This window comes from Homo sapiens, chromosome 3 (assembly GCF_000001405.40).
Source record: "Homo sapiens chromosome 3, GRCh38.p14 Primary Assembly".
NCBI lineage: Eukaryota > Metazoa > Chordata > Mammalia > Primates > Hominidae > Homo > Homo sapiens.
The window spans coordinates 178846549-178861642 of record NC_000003.12 but is presented as its reverse complement, the minus strand read 5'-3'; the positions used below and the strand labels follow the sequence as shown (position 1 = coordinate 178861642).

The 15094-nt window shown below is 40.8% G+C and overlaps 1 long non-coding RNA gene across 2 annotated transcripts in view, besides 1 other annotated feature; it reads left to right on the top strand.

Annotated features, from left to right (window-relative positions):
- Positions 452–1278: an enhancer, noted in NCBI's record as "OCT4-NANOG-H3K27ac-H3K4me1 hESC enhancer chr3:178578153-178578979 (GRCh37/hg19 assembly coordinates)". NCBI's record gives its function as "activates a minimal SCP1, AML or CMV promoter by ChIP-STARR-seq in naive H9 embryonic stem cells {active_cell/tissue: H9 hESC(naive)}" and the evidence as "EXISTENCE:reporter gene assay evidence [ECO:0000049][PMID:30033119]".
- The window catches only part of KCNMB2-AS1 (KCNMB2 antisense RNA 1), a 334939-nt gene continuing 321082 nt past the window's right edge, over positions 1238–15094 (top strand). For both annotated transcript variants that reach the window (NR_126560.1, NR_126561.1), the window contains exons 1-2: positions 1238–1349; positions 2020–2154. This is a non-coding gene — a long non-coding RNA (KCNMB2 antisense RNA 1). The remainder of the gene's footprint in view (positions 1350–2019; positions 2155–15094) is intronic.

Sequence of the window (15094 nt, the reverse complement as noted above, 5' to 3'; positions counted from 1 at the left end):
CTCTCTTCTGGCTTGTAGAGTTTCTGCCGAGAGATCCACTGTTAGTCTGATGGGCTTCCCTTTGAGGGTAACCCGACCTTTCTGTCTGGCTGCCCTTAACATTTTTTCCTTCATTTCAACTTTGGTGAATCTGACAATTATGTGTCTTGGAGTTGCTCTTCTCGAGGAGTATCTTTGTGGTGTTCTCTGTATTTCCTGAATCTGAATGTTGGCCTGCCTTGCTAGATTGGGGAAGTTCTCCTGGATAATATCCTGCAGAGTGTTTTCCAACTTGGTTCCATTCTCCCCATCACTTTCAGGTACACCAATCAGACGCAGATTTGGTCTTTTCACATAGTCCCATATTTCTTGGAGGCTTTGCTCATTTCTTTTTATTCTTTTTTCTCTAAACTTCCCTTCTCACTTCATTTCATTCATTTCATCTTCCATCGCTGATACGCTTTCTTCCAGTTGATCGCATCGGCTCCTGAGGCTTCTGCATTCTTCACGTAGTTCTCGAGCCTTGGTTTTCAGCTCCATCAGCTCCTTTAAGCACTTCTCTGTATTGGTTATTCTAGTTATACATTCTTCTAAATTTTTTCAAAGTTTTCAACTTCTTTGCCTTTGGTTTGAATGTCCTCCCGTAGCTCAGAGTAATTTGATCGTCTGAAGCCTTCTTCTCTCAGCTTGTCAAAGTCATTCTCCATCCAGCTTTGTTCTGTTGCTGGTGAGGAACTGCGTTCCTTTGGAGGAGGAGAGGTGCTCTGCTTTTTAGAGTTTCCAGTTTTTCTGTTCTGTTTTTTCCCCATCTTTGTGGTTTTATCTACTTTTGGTCTTTGATGATGGTGATGTACAGATGGGTTTTTGGTGTGGATGTCCTTTCTGTTTGTTAGTTTTCCTTCTAACAGACAGGACCCTCAGCTGCAGGTCTGTTGGAATACCCTGCTGTGTGAGGTGTCAGTGTGCCCCTGCTGGGGGGTGCTTCCCAGTTAGGCTGCTCAGGGGTCAGGGGTCAGGGACCCACTTGAGGAGGCAGTCTGCCCGTTCTCAGATCTCCAGCTGCGTGCTGGGAGAACCACTGCTCTCTTCAAAGCTGTCAGACAGGGACATTTAAGTCTGCAGAGGTTACTGCTGTCTTTTTGTTTGTCTGTGCCCTGCCCCCAGAGGTGGAGCCTACAGAGGCAGGCAGGCCTCCTTGAGCTGTGGTGGGCTCCGCCCAGTTGGAGCTTCCTGGCTGCTTTGTTTACCTAATCAAGCCTGGGCAATGGCGGGCGCCCCTCCCCCCGCCTCGCTGCCGCCTTGCAGTTTGATCTCAGACTGCTGTGCTAGCAATCAGCGAGACTCCGTGGGCGTAGGACCCTCCGAGCCAGGTGAGGGATATAATCTCGTGGTGCGCCGTTTCTTAAGCCCGTCGGAAAAGCGCAGTATTCGGGTGGGAGTGACCCGATTTTCCAGGTGCGTCCGTCACCCCTTTCTTTGACTCGGAAAGGGAACTCCCTGACCCCTTGCGCTTCCCAGGTGAGGCAATGCCTCGCCCTGCTTTGGCTCGTGCACGGTGTGCGCACCCACTGACCTGTGCCCAGTGTCTGGCACTCCTTAGTGAGATGAACCCAGTGCCTCAGATGGAAATGCAGAAATCACCTGTATTCTGCCTCACTCACGCTGGGAGCTGTAGACCGGAGCTGTTCCTATTCGGCCATCTTGGCTCCCCTTCCGAACTTTATTTTGTTTTATGGATTTTTTGACTGTCAATATTTTGATGTACTTGAATCTGTTAATATTTTCCTCTATGGCTTCTTGGTTTTGTGCCTTGCTTACGAGGGTCTTACCTATTTTCTAATAGGCTATGAAACAGAAAACATATTGATTTTATATTTTTAGCAAAGAGTTTATATTTGGTCACCATAGTGCTAGAAAACCCGGATGATTGTGCAGTGGCTTGATAGTTGGCTGCAGTTATCACGGTTTTCCACAGACTTTGTTCTCAAAGAGCTTTGAAAGAACTGAGCTCTCTAGATCTTATTTTGTTTTATTTTTTAGAGATGGGATCTTACTACATTGCCCAGGCTGAAGTGCAGTGGCTATTAACAGCTGTAATCATAATGCATTGCAGCTTTGAATTCCTGGGCTTGAGCGACCTCCCCACCTTAGCCTCCTGAGTAGCTGAGACTACAGGTATGTGCCAGCAATGCCTAGCTTTTTCTTTTCTTTTTTTTTTAAACTTTACTGTGCTTACTAATAAAGGAGCTGTTATTTTTATTTTCTTCTGGAAGCATCAGAAGCTAGTTTCTTCAGTGCCGTATTTTCCATCCTATAATTCACAGACATGGCATTTCTGCTTACAGTAAAATTAATGCCAAAGGAAGCAAACAGTCAGTAGATAAACTCAGTCTTAACCTTCAGTATCATGCTGGTGATGGGCTGTTTCTCAGTCTCCCTCTGTATCATTTGTATGTTGGCTTTTTATTTCCTGTCGTTTTATTGATTGAGAGCTAGTTCCCGCCAGTTTTATCTGTTATGGTAAGGATCCCAATTGGAGATGATATCTGCTATGGAAATTGTGTATATATTTTTTATAACAACATCTGCCTTTTCACGCTGCAAAAATTGGTCCTAGGCAATGCATCACCATCAAGTTACATGGCTTCAAATGACACCCCCAAATCCCAGGAAACATGAAATATGTAACATAGCATAATGGGGCTTCCTGTTGGGCTGCAATTGAGTACTCACCTGTTTCTTTGATGTTTTGCCCATTTCAAAGTGGATCTGAACAATATTTTCATACATGAGATAGGTAGCTGGGAAATTCTCCTTTATTCTGCTTGTAGCCTGTGAATTTGGCAAAGATAGATTATTTGGAACAATTTCAAAGTCTTTTAAAATTATGTTGATCATTGAACTTTTCAAGGCATGTATAGCTTGAAGGAGTCCACATTTTGAAAACTGTATGGTTCAAGTGACTTTTCTTGGAGCAATCTACCTAGGTGGACATAGATAAGAACTTTTCATATGTAAGAGTATATGAAAAATGGAAGAGAAAATAGGTGAGAATTAGAATCCAATTCTTTTGGAGAATTACATTTCTTAAAAATAAAGGAATTAAAACTCTTTGAATAGGTAATATAGTCAATAGTTCAAAACTGAATGCTACTAAAGGATATATGTGACAAGTAGCTTTGCATCCCCCAACTTCCAGCCACTAAGTACCCTCCTAGAAGGCAATCAACAATATAAGTTCCTTGTGCATTTTGCAGAGATAGTCATGTGTAGGCAAATGTATACCTATATGTATCTGTATACCTTAGGGCAGTCTATCAGGAAGGGCAAACTGGAACTCTCAGGCCACAGGCAGAATTCAACTGATAGAAATGAGCCCACTCAGATTATCTAGTATAATCTTCTTTATTTAGAGTCAATTGATCATAGATGCTAATCATGTCTACAAAATACTTTCACATGACACTTAGATTTAGTATTTGATTGAATAACTGGGACCATATCCTGGTCAAGTTGACACATAAAACTGATCATCACAAGTCCACTGCTTGTCAATTTGGCACTCATACATACCTCTTTAAACGATACGTAATCTCCAAATAAAGACAGTAACAAAGTCATACTTCCACTTAACATGTTACAAGTATCCTGTGTAGAATACAAATATGCTAATTATTTCCCAGAATACTAATTATTTCACAAATCCTTGGGTGACATTCACTCTTATTCTTAATATCTTGCAACTTAAGTATACTGATGTAAAGTCAACTGTAATTAAACTGTAAGTATACTGATGTAAAGTTAACTGATGTAAAGTGAACTGTAATTAAAACTGTAACATCTATATTATGTTAGATGATAAGAGAATAAGAGTGGGAAGAAAACAAATATATTTGGTTAAAATATATGCAAATGTATTCATAACAAAATGAGAAAACAGTACCAATAACTATCACAATTCTCATTTCTACAACCGGCCATATGATCATAACTGGTATTTGTTGCTACCTTCTTCCACTACACATTACATATTCCATTTTCATTTTGGCCTCAGCAAGCACCTAAGTTTATCTTGGCTCTTTGCCTGGTGGGGTGACCCAAATCTCATTCCTGAAGGATCTGGGCCATTATCCTGCCTGAACTGGGTTGTTGTAGTTTTTCACCGATTCAAGGCAATAGGCATGGCTGTACTAAAAGATGCCATAAGGCAGGGGTCCCCAATCCACAGGTCATGGACCAAACTGGGCTGCACAGCAGGAGGTGAGTGGCGGGTGAGGAGCATTACAGCCTGAGCTCCGCCTCCAGTCAGATCAGCGGTGGCAGTAGATTCTCATAGGTGCGCAAACCCTATTGTGAACTGCACATGCGAGGGATCTGGGTTGCACACTCCTTATGAGAATCTAACTAATGTCCGATGATCCGAGGTGGAACAGTAGTATCCTGAAACTGCCTCCCCCTTCCACCAGTTCATGGAAAAATTGTCTTCTATGAAACTGGTCCCTGGTGCCAAAAAGTTGGAGATTGCGGCCATAATGGATCTCCTGTATTCCAACACATACTGTTCTGTACACTCATTTTGTAATAGCAACCTGTTTTTTTTTTCCCTTGGTAATTAACATCAGTCTCCCCAGCCAGCACAGTAAATCCCTCTTTGCCTGTTGATTCAGGGCCATGAGTAGTAAGTGGCTGAGTGCCAGTCTTAACTTACAGTGTAGTGAAATCATACAGTGTAGTGAAGCATTTACTCTCTTTGAGACTAAGACCTTTGGACCAGCAGGGCAAAGGTCTGCTGCGGATGGGAAATCATGAGATGAGAAGCAAAATTTTTGTCAGTGGATGATTAGGGCTAATTTTGAGTGATGCCACTCCTATTTCTACCCTTTAATTCCTGGACTTTTGAATTCTGGCTATCAGAGAAACAGCACCACATATTGGATGAAAATTCAGAACATAATCAGCTTTCTAGAGAACATTGACCCAGCACTATAAGGCTTTGCCAACTAGCTGGTGTGGTAACTGAGTCTTCAGAAGGCCATTCCACCGTTCTGTCAAACCAGCTGCTTCAGAATGGTGGGGAACATAAGACTAGTGAATTCCACGAGCCTGGGTCTATTGCTGCACTTCATTTGCTGTAAAGTGAGTTCTTTAATCAGAAGCAATGCTGGAGGGTAGAATACTAGGGATAAGACATTTTGTAAGTTGAAAGACGGCATTTTCAGCAGTATTATTTCATGCAGCAAAGGCAAATTCCTATCCAGAGTAAGTTTTTATTCCAGTAAGAACAAATTTCTGCCCCTGTTGATGATGGTAGTGGTCCAGACTAATCAACCTGCAACCAAATTGATCACCCTACAGAATAGTGTCATGTCAGAGACTCAGTGTTGTTCTCTGATGCTGGAAGATTGGACATTCATTGGTGGCTGTAGCTGGATCAGCCTTGGAATTTATATTACTGAACCTATGCATATCTTTAATCTCTGCCTCAGTGACCACATTTTATGAGCCCATTGGGTGATGGGGAATGGCTAGGGAAAGAGGCTGAGTGGCATCCACAGTCATCCCATGTACTTGAAGCTGGTGTTACATACTGGCTTCTCCCTTGCTTCTTTTACTTAATAAATCTCTTGCAAATATTCCATATCAGTGCATGAAGAGTTTTGAGAAAACACATCTTTCCAAGATATTTTTTTTCCTTTGTATAATGTGAACAGACTGAATTTATGGCCATGCGATTTAAGTGAAAGTCAACAAAGGGGCGAGCTCATGTCTGGACTTGAACTGGTGACATTTTCTGATGTGCTGAGCTGACCACGGAATTAGAAATACTCAGTACCTGAGAAGGAAGCCTGTGCCACAGGATGCCAGGAAAGTTCCTGAAGCTTCAGAGTCCAGTCGAGTTTTGGTCATGACTGTATAACACTTTCATAGTAGCTCATGAGCATTGACCCAAACCAATGACTATCCTTGGCTGTCCTTGTCTTTTCCCAACTTGTCTTTAACTCAATGATGCCTATTCCTTTCATTTGTTAATCTGTGTATCCTCTCTCATCTTCTCATAGCAGGGACCTTGACATAATCATTGTTGTAGTCTAAGTGCCTAGCATAATGCCTGATACATAGTAGGTGCTCAATTTATATTCACATTTAAATTCATTCAACAAATATTAACTGAGCCCCTGCTATTAATGCATGTTGACTGAATACTCCCTTTCTGTTTTCTTTATTTCTTTTTCTGGCTATAACTCTTTCCTTCTTTCTTTCTTTATTTGGCACAAAAGGAAAACAAGTCTTATTGAAAGACAACTTAGTTCAACTCAATTCTACAAACACTTAGTGAGTGTCTACTTTATGCTAGGCATAGAATTTGACAAAGTTTTCTCTCAGGACACTAGCTAGTAGAAAAGAAAGACACCCAAGAATATAATCAAAAGTAAGGTTGGGGAATGCCAGGATAGGAACATGCTTTTGGAGCTAGGAGAGTATTTTCCTGCCAGCAGATGTTTAGTGTGACAGAAGAGGTCATAGTAAGAGATTAATACTAACAACAACAATTAGAATATATGTAGTGATTACTAAGTTCTTGGCACTATTGTTAGTACTTTACATGTATTAGCTCATATACTCCTCACAACAACCCTAAAAGATAGGTACTAGTGTTATCCTAGCTTTTGGAGTGGGAAAACTGAGACACAGAGAGGTTTGCTAATATGGCAGAGCCCCATATTCCAATCCCCCACCTCCACCCCCCAGTTTCACCCTCAACCAATGGCTGATAGGAACTGGTGTATTAGTAACTGAGGAATCTTACCTCTCAGGTGGCTAATTCTTAGGTGGGATAGCTCTGAGGCAAAAGTTCTTCGTTATTGCACAGTTTCCCTGTGGGATAAAATGTCAGCTGTCATAGAGGCAGCGGGCTTGATAATGTTCCGTTAACTAAGGCGAAGTTTTTTCTCTTTCTCCTTTCCCTACTCTCCTGCTGGTATTTTCCGAACCTCTCAAATAAACTGCTGGCCCTTGAATCCTTGTCTCAGTCTGCTTCTGGGTGAATCCAAAGTTGTGAGTGAACCCAAACCAAAACAAGTGACACACCCAGGGTAGATTTGAACCCAGCCTTTGGACTCCTGAGTGTATGCTCTCCCCAATCCCTTTACCTACACTGGGGGCAGGATAGACAAAGAGACTGAGAAAGTCCTCTGGGTTTGAAGAAAATAGTTCAGTGTGACTAGAACAGAGCGGTCTGGGGAGTGGGGGTGTGGGGAAGGGGTGGGGAGATGAGATCAAACAGGCAACGTGGGATGAATGCATGAAGTTCATGTAGATCAAACTAAGGCATTTGAGCCTTATCGCAAAGGCAATGGGAAGTCACTGCATGGTTTTGCTCAGGGTTTGATATGATCAGATATATATTTACAAAAGTTCATTCTGGTGACAATGTAGAGGATGAATTGGAGTAAAGGGCAGTGGAGAGATTGCAGGTAGGATGACTGGTTTGAGGCTACAGCAACTAGGAGAACAACAGTGTATATAGAAAAGAAGGGGCTGACCTGACAGGCACTTAGGACATAGGATCAATGCTACATGGTGCAGGGCAGTTTTGTGGATGGCCTTCGACTGACTCAGTTCTCCATCTTTCTCACTTGTAGTTCTCAAGAATAACTATAGAATGTGCTGAGAACGCAACATCCTGGGATAAGGAGGGACTGGCTGGAACAGCTCAGTCTCTGTTCTAGTCTCCCCTAGAAACTGGAGGTCTTCCAATGCTTCAGCCTAGCAAATCACATAACCCCAAGGTATAAAATCTAGGGTGGGCTGCTTTCTGGGGTCCCTCAGCTTTGGCACAAGTGGGGACATGCGGTCATGACTCCATTTGCCCTGAGCCTTGGAGGGCCAGCTTACAATGAATCTTAGCCTTCTTTTGTCCCTTGCTGCCTCGTTGTAAGTAACTTCTTATATGTGAGTGTTCTGTATCACTGGATTCAGACAATTTGATAACCAATTTACAGTGAAGCTACTTTGCACATGGTGACTGGGTGTGGTTAGGTGCATACCTGAAGGAAATTGAGATATGTAGGGTGAATCTGAGGATTTGGGTGGAGGGTAGTGACTTTAACTGTAGTGGGAATATGTTGGGGGCAGGGATTGTGGTATGTGAGAGAGTCTGTGTTTAGAAAAAGGACTATTTCAAGTGGACATACTAAGTTTTAAGTGCCTGAAGGCTATCCAGGTAGAGATATCCAGAGGCAGATGAAAATAGAGCTCTGAGATTTACTAAGGAGGCAACAACTGAATGTACAAATTTGGGGATGTCAGTTGATATTTGAAGGTATTAAAGCCCTGGGCATGAATGGAGTTCCTTGAAAACTCCAAAAGGCAAAAAAGCTGCTGTGGACAGTATATATTTTCAAGCATATTATCTCATTTAATTTTCATAATAATCATCTAAGATGAGGATGAAAGATATTATTTTCATCATCATCTTGTAAAGGAGAAAGCTGAGACTTGAGAGAGGTTAGAAAACTTACTTCCTTAGCTGGAGATGGGAAAGAGCTGAGATAAAGGCTAGATCTACTGGCTCCAAGTCCAGTGTCCTTCCCATCCCACCACACTGGTGACATCTCAAAATATGTTTGCATGCCTGTGTTGAGTGATTTAGGTATTCTCTAGGAAAGTTTCTTTGTAAGAGAAGGTATTGTATTTTTCTTTATGTTTTATATATATAATCTGTATTGTATTGTAGAAACCTGGCATATGCCATAACATGATGTGTAATGTTCTTTTCTGTAATTTATGCTTATTTACTGATAACTGGACATATATTTAACTCAATGATTGGACCTAGGCATAGATGATAATCCCATTTTTCAAGGGAGTGCTTTCCTTGCAGGTGAATTCTCAGAGGCTCAGCTAATACTGGTGCATTTTTCTCGGTCCATTTATTTCTACATCACCTGTCACCATGGTTGTCTCCCTTTTCATTATTTTTGACCATGTGCTAAGCATCCAACCTTACTCTATAGAATTAAGTTTTAGGCTGTAATAATTCACATTTATTCAGTGGACATCCTGAATGCCTACAGCAAATCTTTCCGAGGTTTTTCTTGTCCACCTTTTATGATCTGAGGAAAGCACTCTCCAAATAGTACCATAAGTCACGTCAGGAAAGGACCCTGACACAGAGCCACCTTGGAACTCAACCAGTTTTGGCCAAGATGTTAGAAAACCTACTTCCCTCTGTTATTTGCCCAGGAAATGACACTGACATTTGAAAAAATGTTACAGAAGAGGCCTTATTATGTGACAAACTGTGACATTAAAAAAATACATGATTTGTGGCATATTTTATTTATTTGGGGAAAAAATCCTGACAATGTCAAATACATATAAGTGAGTCAGGTCCTCGTTCCAACCCTGTGGCAGTCAATGCCAGAACTCAGCTGAACAGATTAAAGGAGCTGCTGGAACCCACAGAATGCAGAAAGGGGCCTGGCAATTCGCTTTCCCACCTCTTGAAGCTTATGTTAAGTGGTGGTGGGAAAAATGATCCCCGATTATGGTATGACACTCCCTGATGTGTTTTTCAGCTTGTTGCTGTTTTATTTAATTTCCAGTCAATTATACTGATGTCTGGATCATTAGTGATTTCCTTTTAGGCAGAAAAACATCACTATCCTGATCCTTTTCTTTGAACATCAGAGTTTTCTTATTCTATATTTTAATTATGATAGTAATCAATCATGACTTACTTATAAGAAGGGACAGTTTCTGAAACTTCTGTCCCCTACTTTCACCCTCTTCAATGTGTCTAGAACAGAGCAGCTGCAACTCATTTAGGCTGTGGATGTGGCCTGCCTGGTGAAAAACTTGAATAAGCCATTTCTTCCAGAAGGTGTGTGTATGTGTGTGTGTGTGTGTGTGTGTGTGTGTATGTGCAGACTTCTGAAACACTATGGCCCTTTTCCCACCACATCAGACTTTCTGAGTATTCAGATTATTTTTGTGAGAGCAGAAAGTGTTTCACCATATGAAGAAAATGTTGGTCATCTACAGTCATCTTTTCTTTTTAGGAGAATAAAAATGTTTCCGGTATAATAACATTAAGCCATATATCAGGTAATAGTCGTACTTTTTCCGATTTGCTAGCAATTGGAGAAAGTAAAGGATAAATAATATTTTCACTTTCTGAATTGATAGCTCATGTTTAGGTCCTTAATCTGAAGTTAAAATAAATGCTGGAAAATCCTCGCATAAAAGTGTGAATATACGTAGAGTGTGTGTTTAATCAGAGCCCCGTTTCTTGACTCTTTTCTGGGGAAAGAAACAGAGGAACTTGGGTTCCGTTTCTGGCACTTTTGCATGTAGCCCTGTTGCTAACAACCCTGGTTCTAATGTATATATTCATTCTCTACTGCTTATCTGCATCTCTCTCCGTACCTCTTGTTTTCTTTTTGGGTGACTCTGAATTTTCTAAACTCAGACACTTCCTTGCTCAGCCTCATGCCTCTATGTTAACAGGCAGTTTCTGGGATTTCAGACATGCTAGGTGAGATTCAACACTGGGACCAAATCCCTTCTTTCACCATTTGGGGGAGTGGATGGGAATCCTCCTCAGAGGTTGCTCCCTGAAAGGAACTGGGAGCAAGTGATAAAAACCCACATTAGTCTCTTGACACCTCATCCACATTCCTCTGATTTGGATGCTTTTAAATCTTCCCAGAACTGATCTTAGTTATGAGATTCCATTTGGCAGAGCTAAGGCTGGGGCCGGTCCTAGGAAAAACTATTAGGAGAGATGAAACTTGCCTTAAGAATCTTTTATTGTGAAACATGCTATGAACATCTTTCTACTTTATCTCCAGACTCTTAGTGTACATTCTTAAAAAATAATAATTATATATCCCCACCCAAATCTCACCTTGAATTGTAATAATCCCCACGTATCAAGGGTGGGGCCAAGTGGAGATAATTGAATCGTGGGGGTGGTTTCCCTCATACTGTTCTCGAGGTAGTGAATAAGTGTCACGAGGGCTGATGTTTTTGTAAATGGGAGTTCCCCTGCACAAGCTCGCTTGCCTGTCACTGCGTAAGATGTCCCTTTGCTCTTGCTTCATTTTCTGCCATGATTGTGAGGCCTCCCTAGCCATTTGGAACTGAGTCAATTAAATCTCTTTCCTTTATAAATTACTCAGCCTCGAGTATGCCCTTATTAGCAGCATGAAAACAGACGAATACAGTAGGATATATAATTATTATTATTTTTAAGAGTGTAAACTAAGAGTTTGGAGGCACTGCAACAGGGTGTTTGTGAAACATAGAAGATAGGCAGCTAGCCTGGGACACAGGAGGTTAGGAATCACCTCTTGGTGCAGGTGAGGTTTGAGCTAAACTTTAAAGGATGAGTATGAGTTAGCCAAGTGGAGAGAAGGGAGATCAGAGAAGGTTGAAACAGAGGAAACAGTAAGTGCAAAAGCCCAGAGGTGTGAGAAAATTTGGAACATTGGGGATGGCCTTTGACTGGAATGGCTGAGGTATAAAGTGACAGTGGGAAATAGACTTGAAGGGCCAGTTGCCTCCACAATCCAAGTCATCAGCAGCAGCAAAACGTTACTAGTTTTTCTTAGGAGTGTAAGTCTTCCTTAATAAAGGCTGCTCTGCAGTCCCTTGCTGAATGAGAAATCTCCTCCTTTTAGCTTGCTTTGATGCCTGCAAATGCAAGGGTTTGGGCTGGGTTTGACTTACTGCTTCCCATAAAACAAAAATGAAAATGGCAAGAATGACCACATGAAGATAGCTTTTAATTTTCCAGTGGCTGCTTTTCAGGGATCTTGGACTACAGTGATATCAGAGGTAGAGTAACTTGCTGGCTTTCCCTGGTCTTGCAAAGTGTCCCTTTGTTCCGGTTCCCCATGGGATTTTTGCAAATCAATTTTGGTGGTTAATGCCAGGAGTTTTTGAGGCTACTCAACTATTAAAAGACTTCCTTCTTAAGAGAGGAGACAGTTGTGTATTTTCATCGTTGGATAATTTGGACATGTGGCTTCTCAAACATACCAAGTGAAATCTTCTAAACAGTCTTGGATGTTTGCCAGGTGAACTTGAGGATTGTTAGTATTCAAAGGGTTATTTACTCAGCCAGATAGTGTGACATTTTCAAAGAAATTGAGAATTGGAAAAGGGAAAGCCTCTGTTAGTGTTAGCAGAAAACCAATCCGTAACAAGTGGCCCCGACTGACCAGCCTAGATCTGGCTCCTGGAATTTCTGTTGGCAGATACCTGAGCTATATTTACAGCATTCACTTTTTCTAGGAATGCTGAAACTTCACAGCTGATTATGACTTTCTGGAGATGGACCTAAATGTAGAATTGGCACCAAATTCTGCATCTGTCACAACTGATAGAAAGGAAGGGACCTATTTTACATCAGTCCCCAGTCTGAACTCCCTGTTTTCTTCTCAGTATTGCTAGATGTTAGCTACAGCAGCTGAATGCTTTTGGTTAGAGACAGACACTGTCAATTGTTCCAAAATGATACTTCTGCCGTGCTCCAGAAGGCACGGGGAGGGCCTATTTTATTTGCTCACCATGAGAAGGAACTAAGTGTCAGGGTTTGCAGCTGCCTGGTAGAAACTGCTAGAATTTTAATGCAGCAAGTAAAAGGGTTGAGATTTGATGATTGTCCAACTAGAGGAGGCTGATGGGTTTGGGCAGACCTTACATGAGGTTATCACATGGATGATGAGGTGTTGAAATAACCACAGTGTTGCAGATGGTAGGTGGGGTAAGTAATGCTTTCTGTTGATTTATCTGTGATAAGAAATATCACTGGATGGTCCAAGGAGGACTCACTTTCTTAAATGTTATGATGTCAGAAAAAAACTAAGAGGTAGGGAGAAGGAGAATTCATTCCTTCATCTTCTTCATGCTCCTTAAAGTTGATTTACTCCAAAATAAGCAGGTAACAGGGCAATTGAATCTGTGCTAGACCAAATAGGTACTACTCAACGCAAGGGACAACAGCCTTAAGAAAAATGCAGAGAAATTCCTTAGTATCTCATGAATAGTAATGGTTGCTTAAATTAGAGTTTTAAAATTCTGAATGATTCCTCACATATTATCACTCCCTTCCTTTCTCTTAAACTAGTTTTTGTTTCCTATAAACTCTTATTATATCAGTTGCCCCCTACTATCTTTTTCTAAGGGAACTTCTTGTCTTCTGCTAAAATAAAAATATTCCTGCATCTTTCACTTAGTGAAAATCGGAAATGCTTTTCCCTCCTTTTAAATTGTATGAGATTACTGAGTGACTCATGCATGTAAAAATTGCAAAGTAAATTTTGAGCACTGGTTCTTTCGCTCTTTTACGCTTTCAGTAATACTTGCTTTCCTTCCCATATATGTGGGACCTTCAACCAAAATCTGGGAGAAGATTTTGGGACAAGACTCTGGCGTGAGTTTTTTTTTTCACATTTCCAGTAGTGGACATCTGCTGTTCTTACTTGCCCAGCATCCCTTCTTCTGTTCTTTACATACACCAGTTGACCTTTGAGGAATTATCTGACTTCCACTTAGTGTGGCAGATAATCACATGCCCTGCCTCCATCATTACAGAAGCGGGCATGTAATGCCATGCTATAGGTCTGGCCCCAAAGAGTTTACTATCCTCTGAGCCATACTGGTGGGCCCAGTAGTGGACAGCAGATACAAAGAGATCTGGCTTTTGTGAGGACTGATATTAATACTGGGGTTTTCTCCTTCTGTAACTATAGAAATAGGGATTTTGTGAACATGTAGTTGCTGGAGATTATCTTTGCTGGTATGTGATTAAAAGTGCAATCAAAAGAAGGAAAAAATCTGAGTGAGAGAGAGAGAGAGAGAGAGAGAGGATTTTATGAAGATAAGTTGTGTCTGCTACCTAAAGAAATTTTTAGTATTGCTAATATGCTAGTTGGTGAAGTTGTGTGGAGGGTATAGAGGACTTTGAAGCTTTCTCTGTGGTCTCTTCATATACTATGCTGGTAACAAGTCATACTACAACTTGCAAGGGCTTGGAGATTAAATTTGTTTTAAGGTTAAAAAAGCAGTTCTGGAAACCCTAGTTAAGTGATTATATTGTTTGAGAGAATGACTTCTTTTTCCACCTCAATGAAACACTTATCACAAAGTCACAACGGGAATTCACAGACTGACATTTTCTTCCAATTCTTTGGTATTGCACTGCAGAATTCATAGTGCCTTAGCCAAGACAAACCCATGGCAGCTGTAGTAATATTTTGTTAGGAGCACAGCTATGCTCTTAAGTAATCTGAGTCTGGTTGTCATCAGATTGAGTTAGAACATAATGCAGAGTTTCAGCAATGTTACTTTTCAGAAGGCCGAATCATACTTAAGAGGTGGTACAGGATTAAAACCAACATAGACATCAGAAGGAGTTAGCTAGTTCATCAGTTTAACTCATACATGAATATTTGGGTTCTAATGGATATATTCTTAATCTTTTAAAACTGATGTCCTTTGTGCCACCTTCATAAATTTCCCTTTATGTCATAATTCTGTCTGAATGGGTTATTTTTCATGGTCTTATGTTTGAGACAAATGGAAATTGCTCTTCCCCATCCCCTCCTTCATTTCAATAAAATAACACTAATAAAATAAGTCAGTGCAGGAGTATTGATTTTATTGTATAGATTTGGTGGGTAGATATTACAGGGAGACAGACTTCAACTTGTTATGAGGAAAACATGTTAGCATTAAGTGGTGACCTGTCCTATCACTGGCAGGATTCAGGTAGTAACCATTCCTATTGCTAGATGATTCCTGCTTAAAATCTATAGAAGGAATTTGTTGATGTGCGTTTTGGGCAAAATGACATTTTAGAGCTATTCTAGCTCCAAGAGATTATATACTACTAGTGGGTATACTAATACGACTTGTACATTTATTATTAATTATAATAGCTACTGTTATTTACTATTATGTCTGTTATATGCTGTATACAATGCTTGATATTTACATACATAAGCCATTTAAGCCCCATACCAATACTTTGTAAATATTATCCCCACCCATGTGGATACCTAATTGTTGTTCTCTATTTTTAATTTCATGTGTGTTTGTTGAC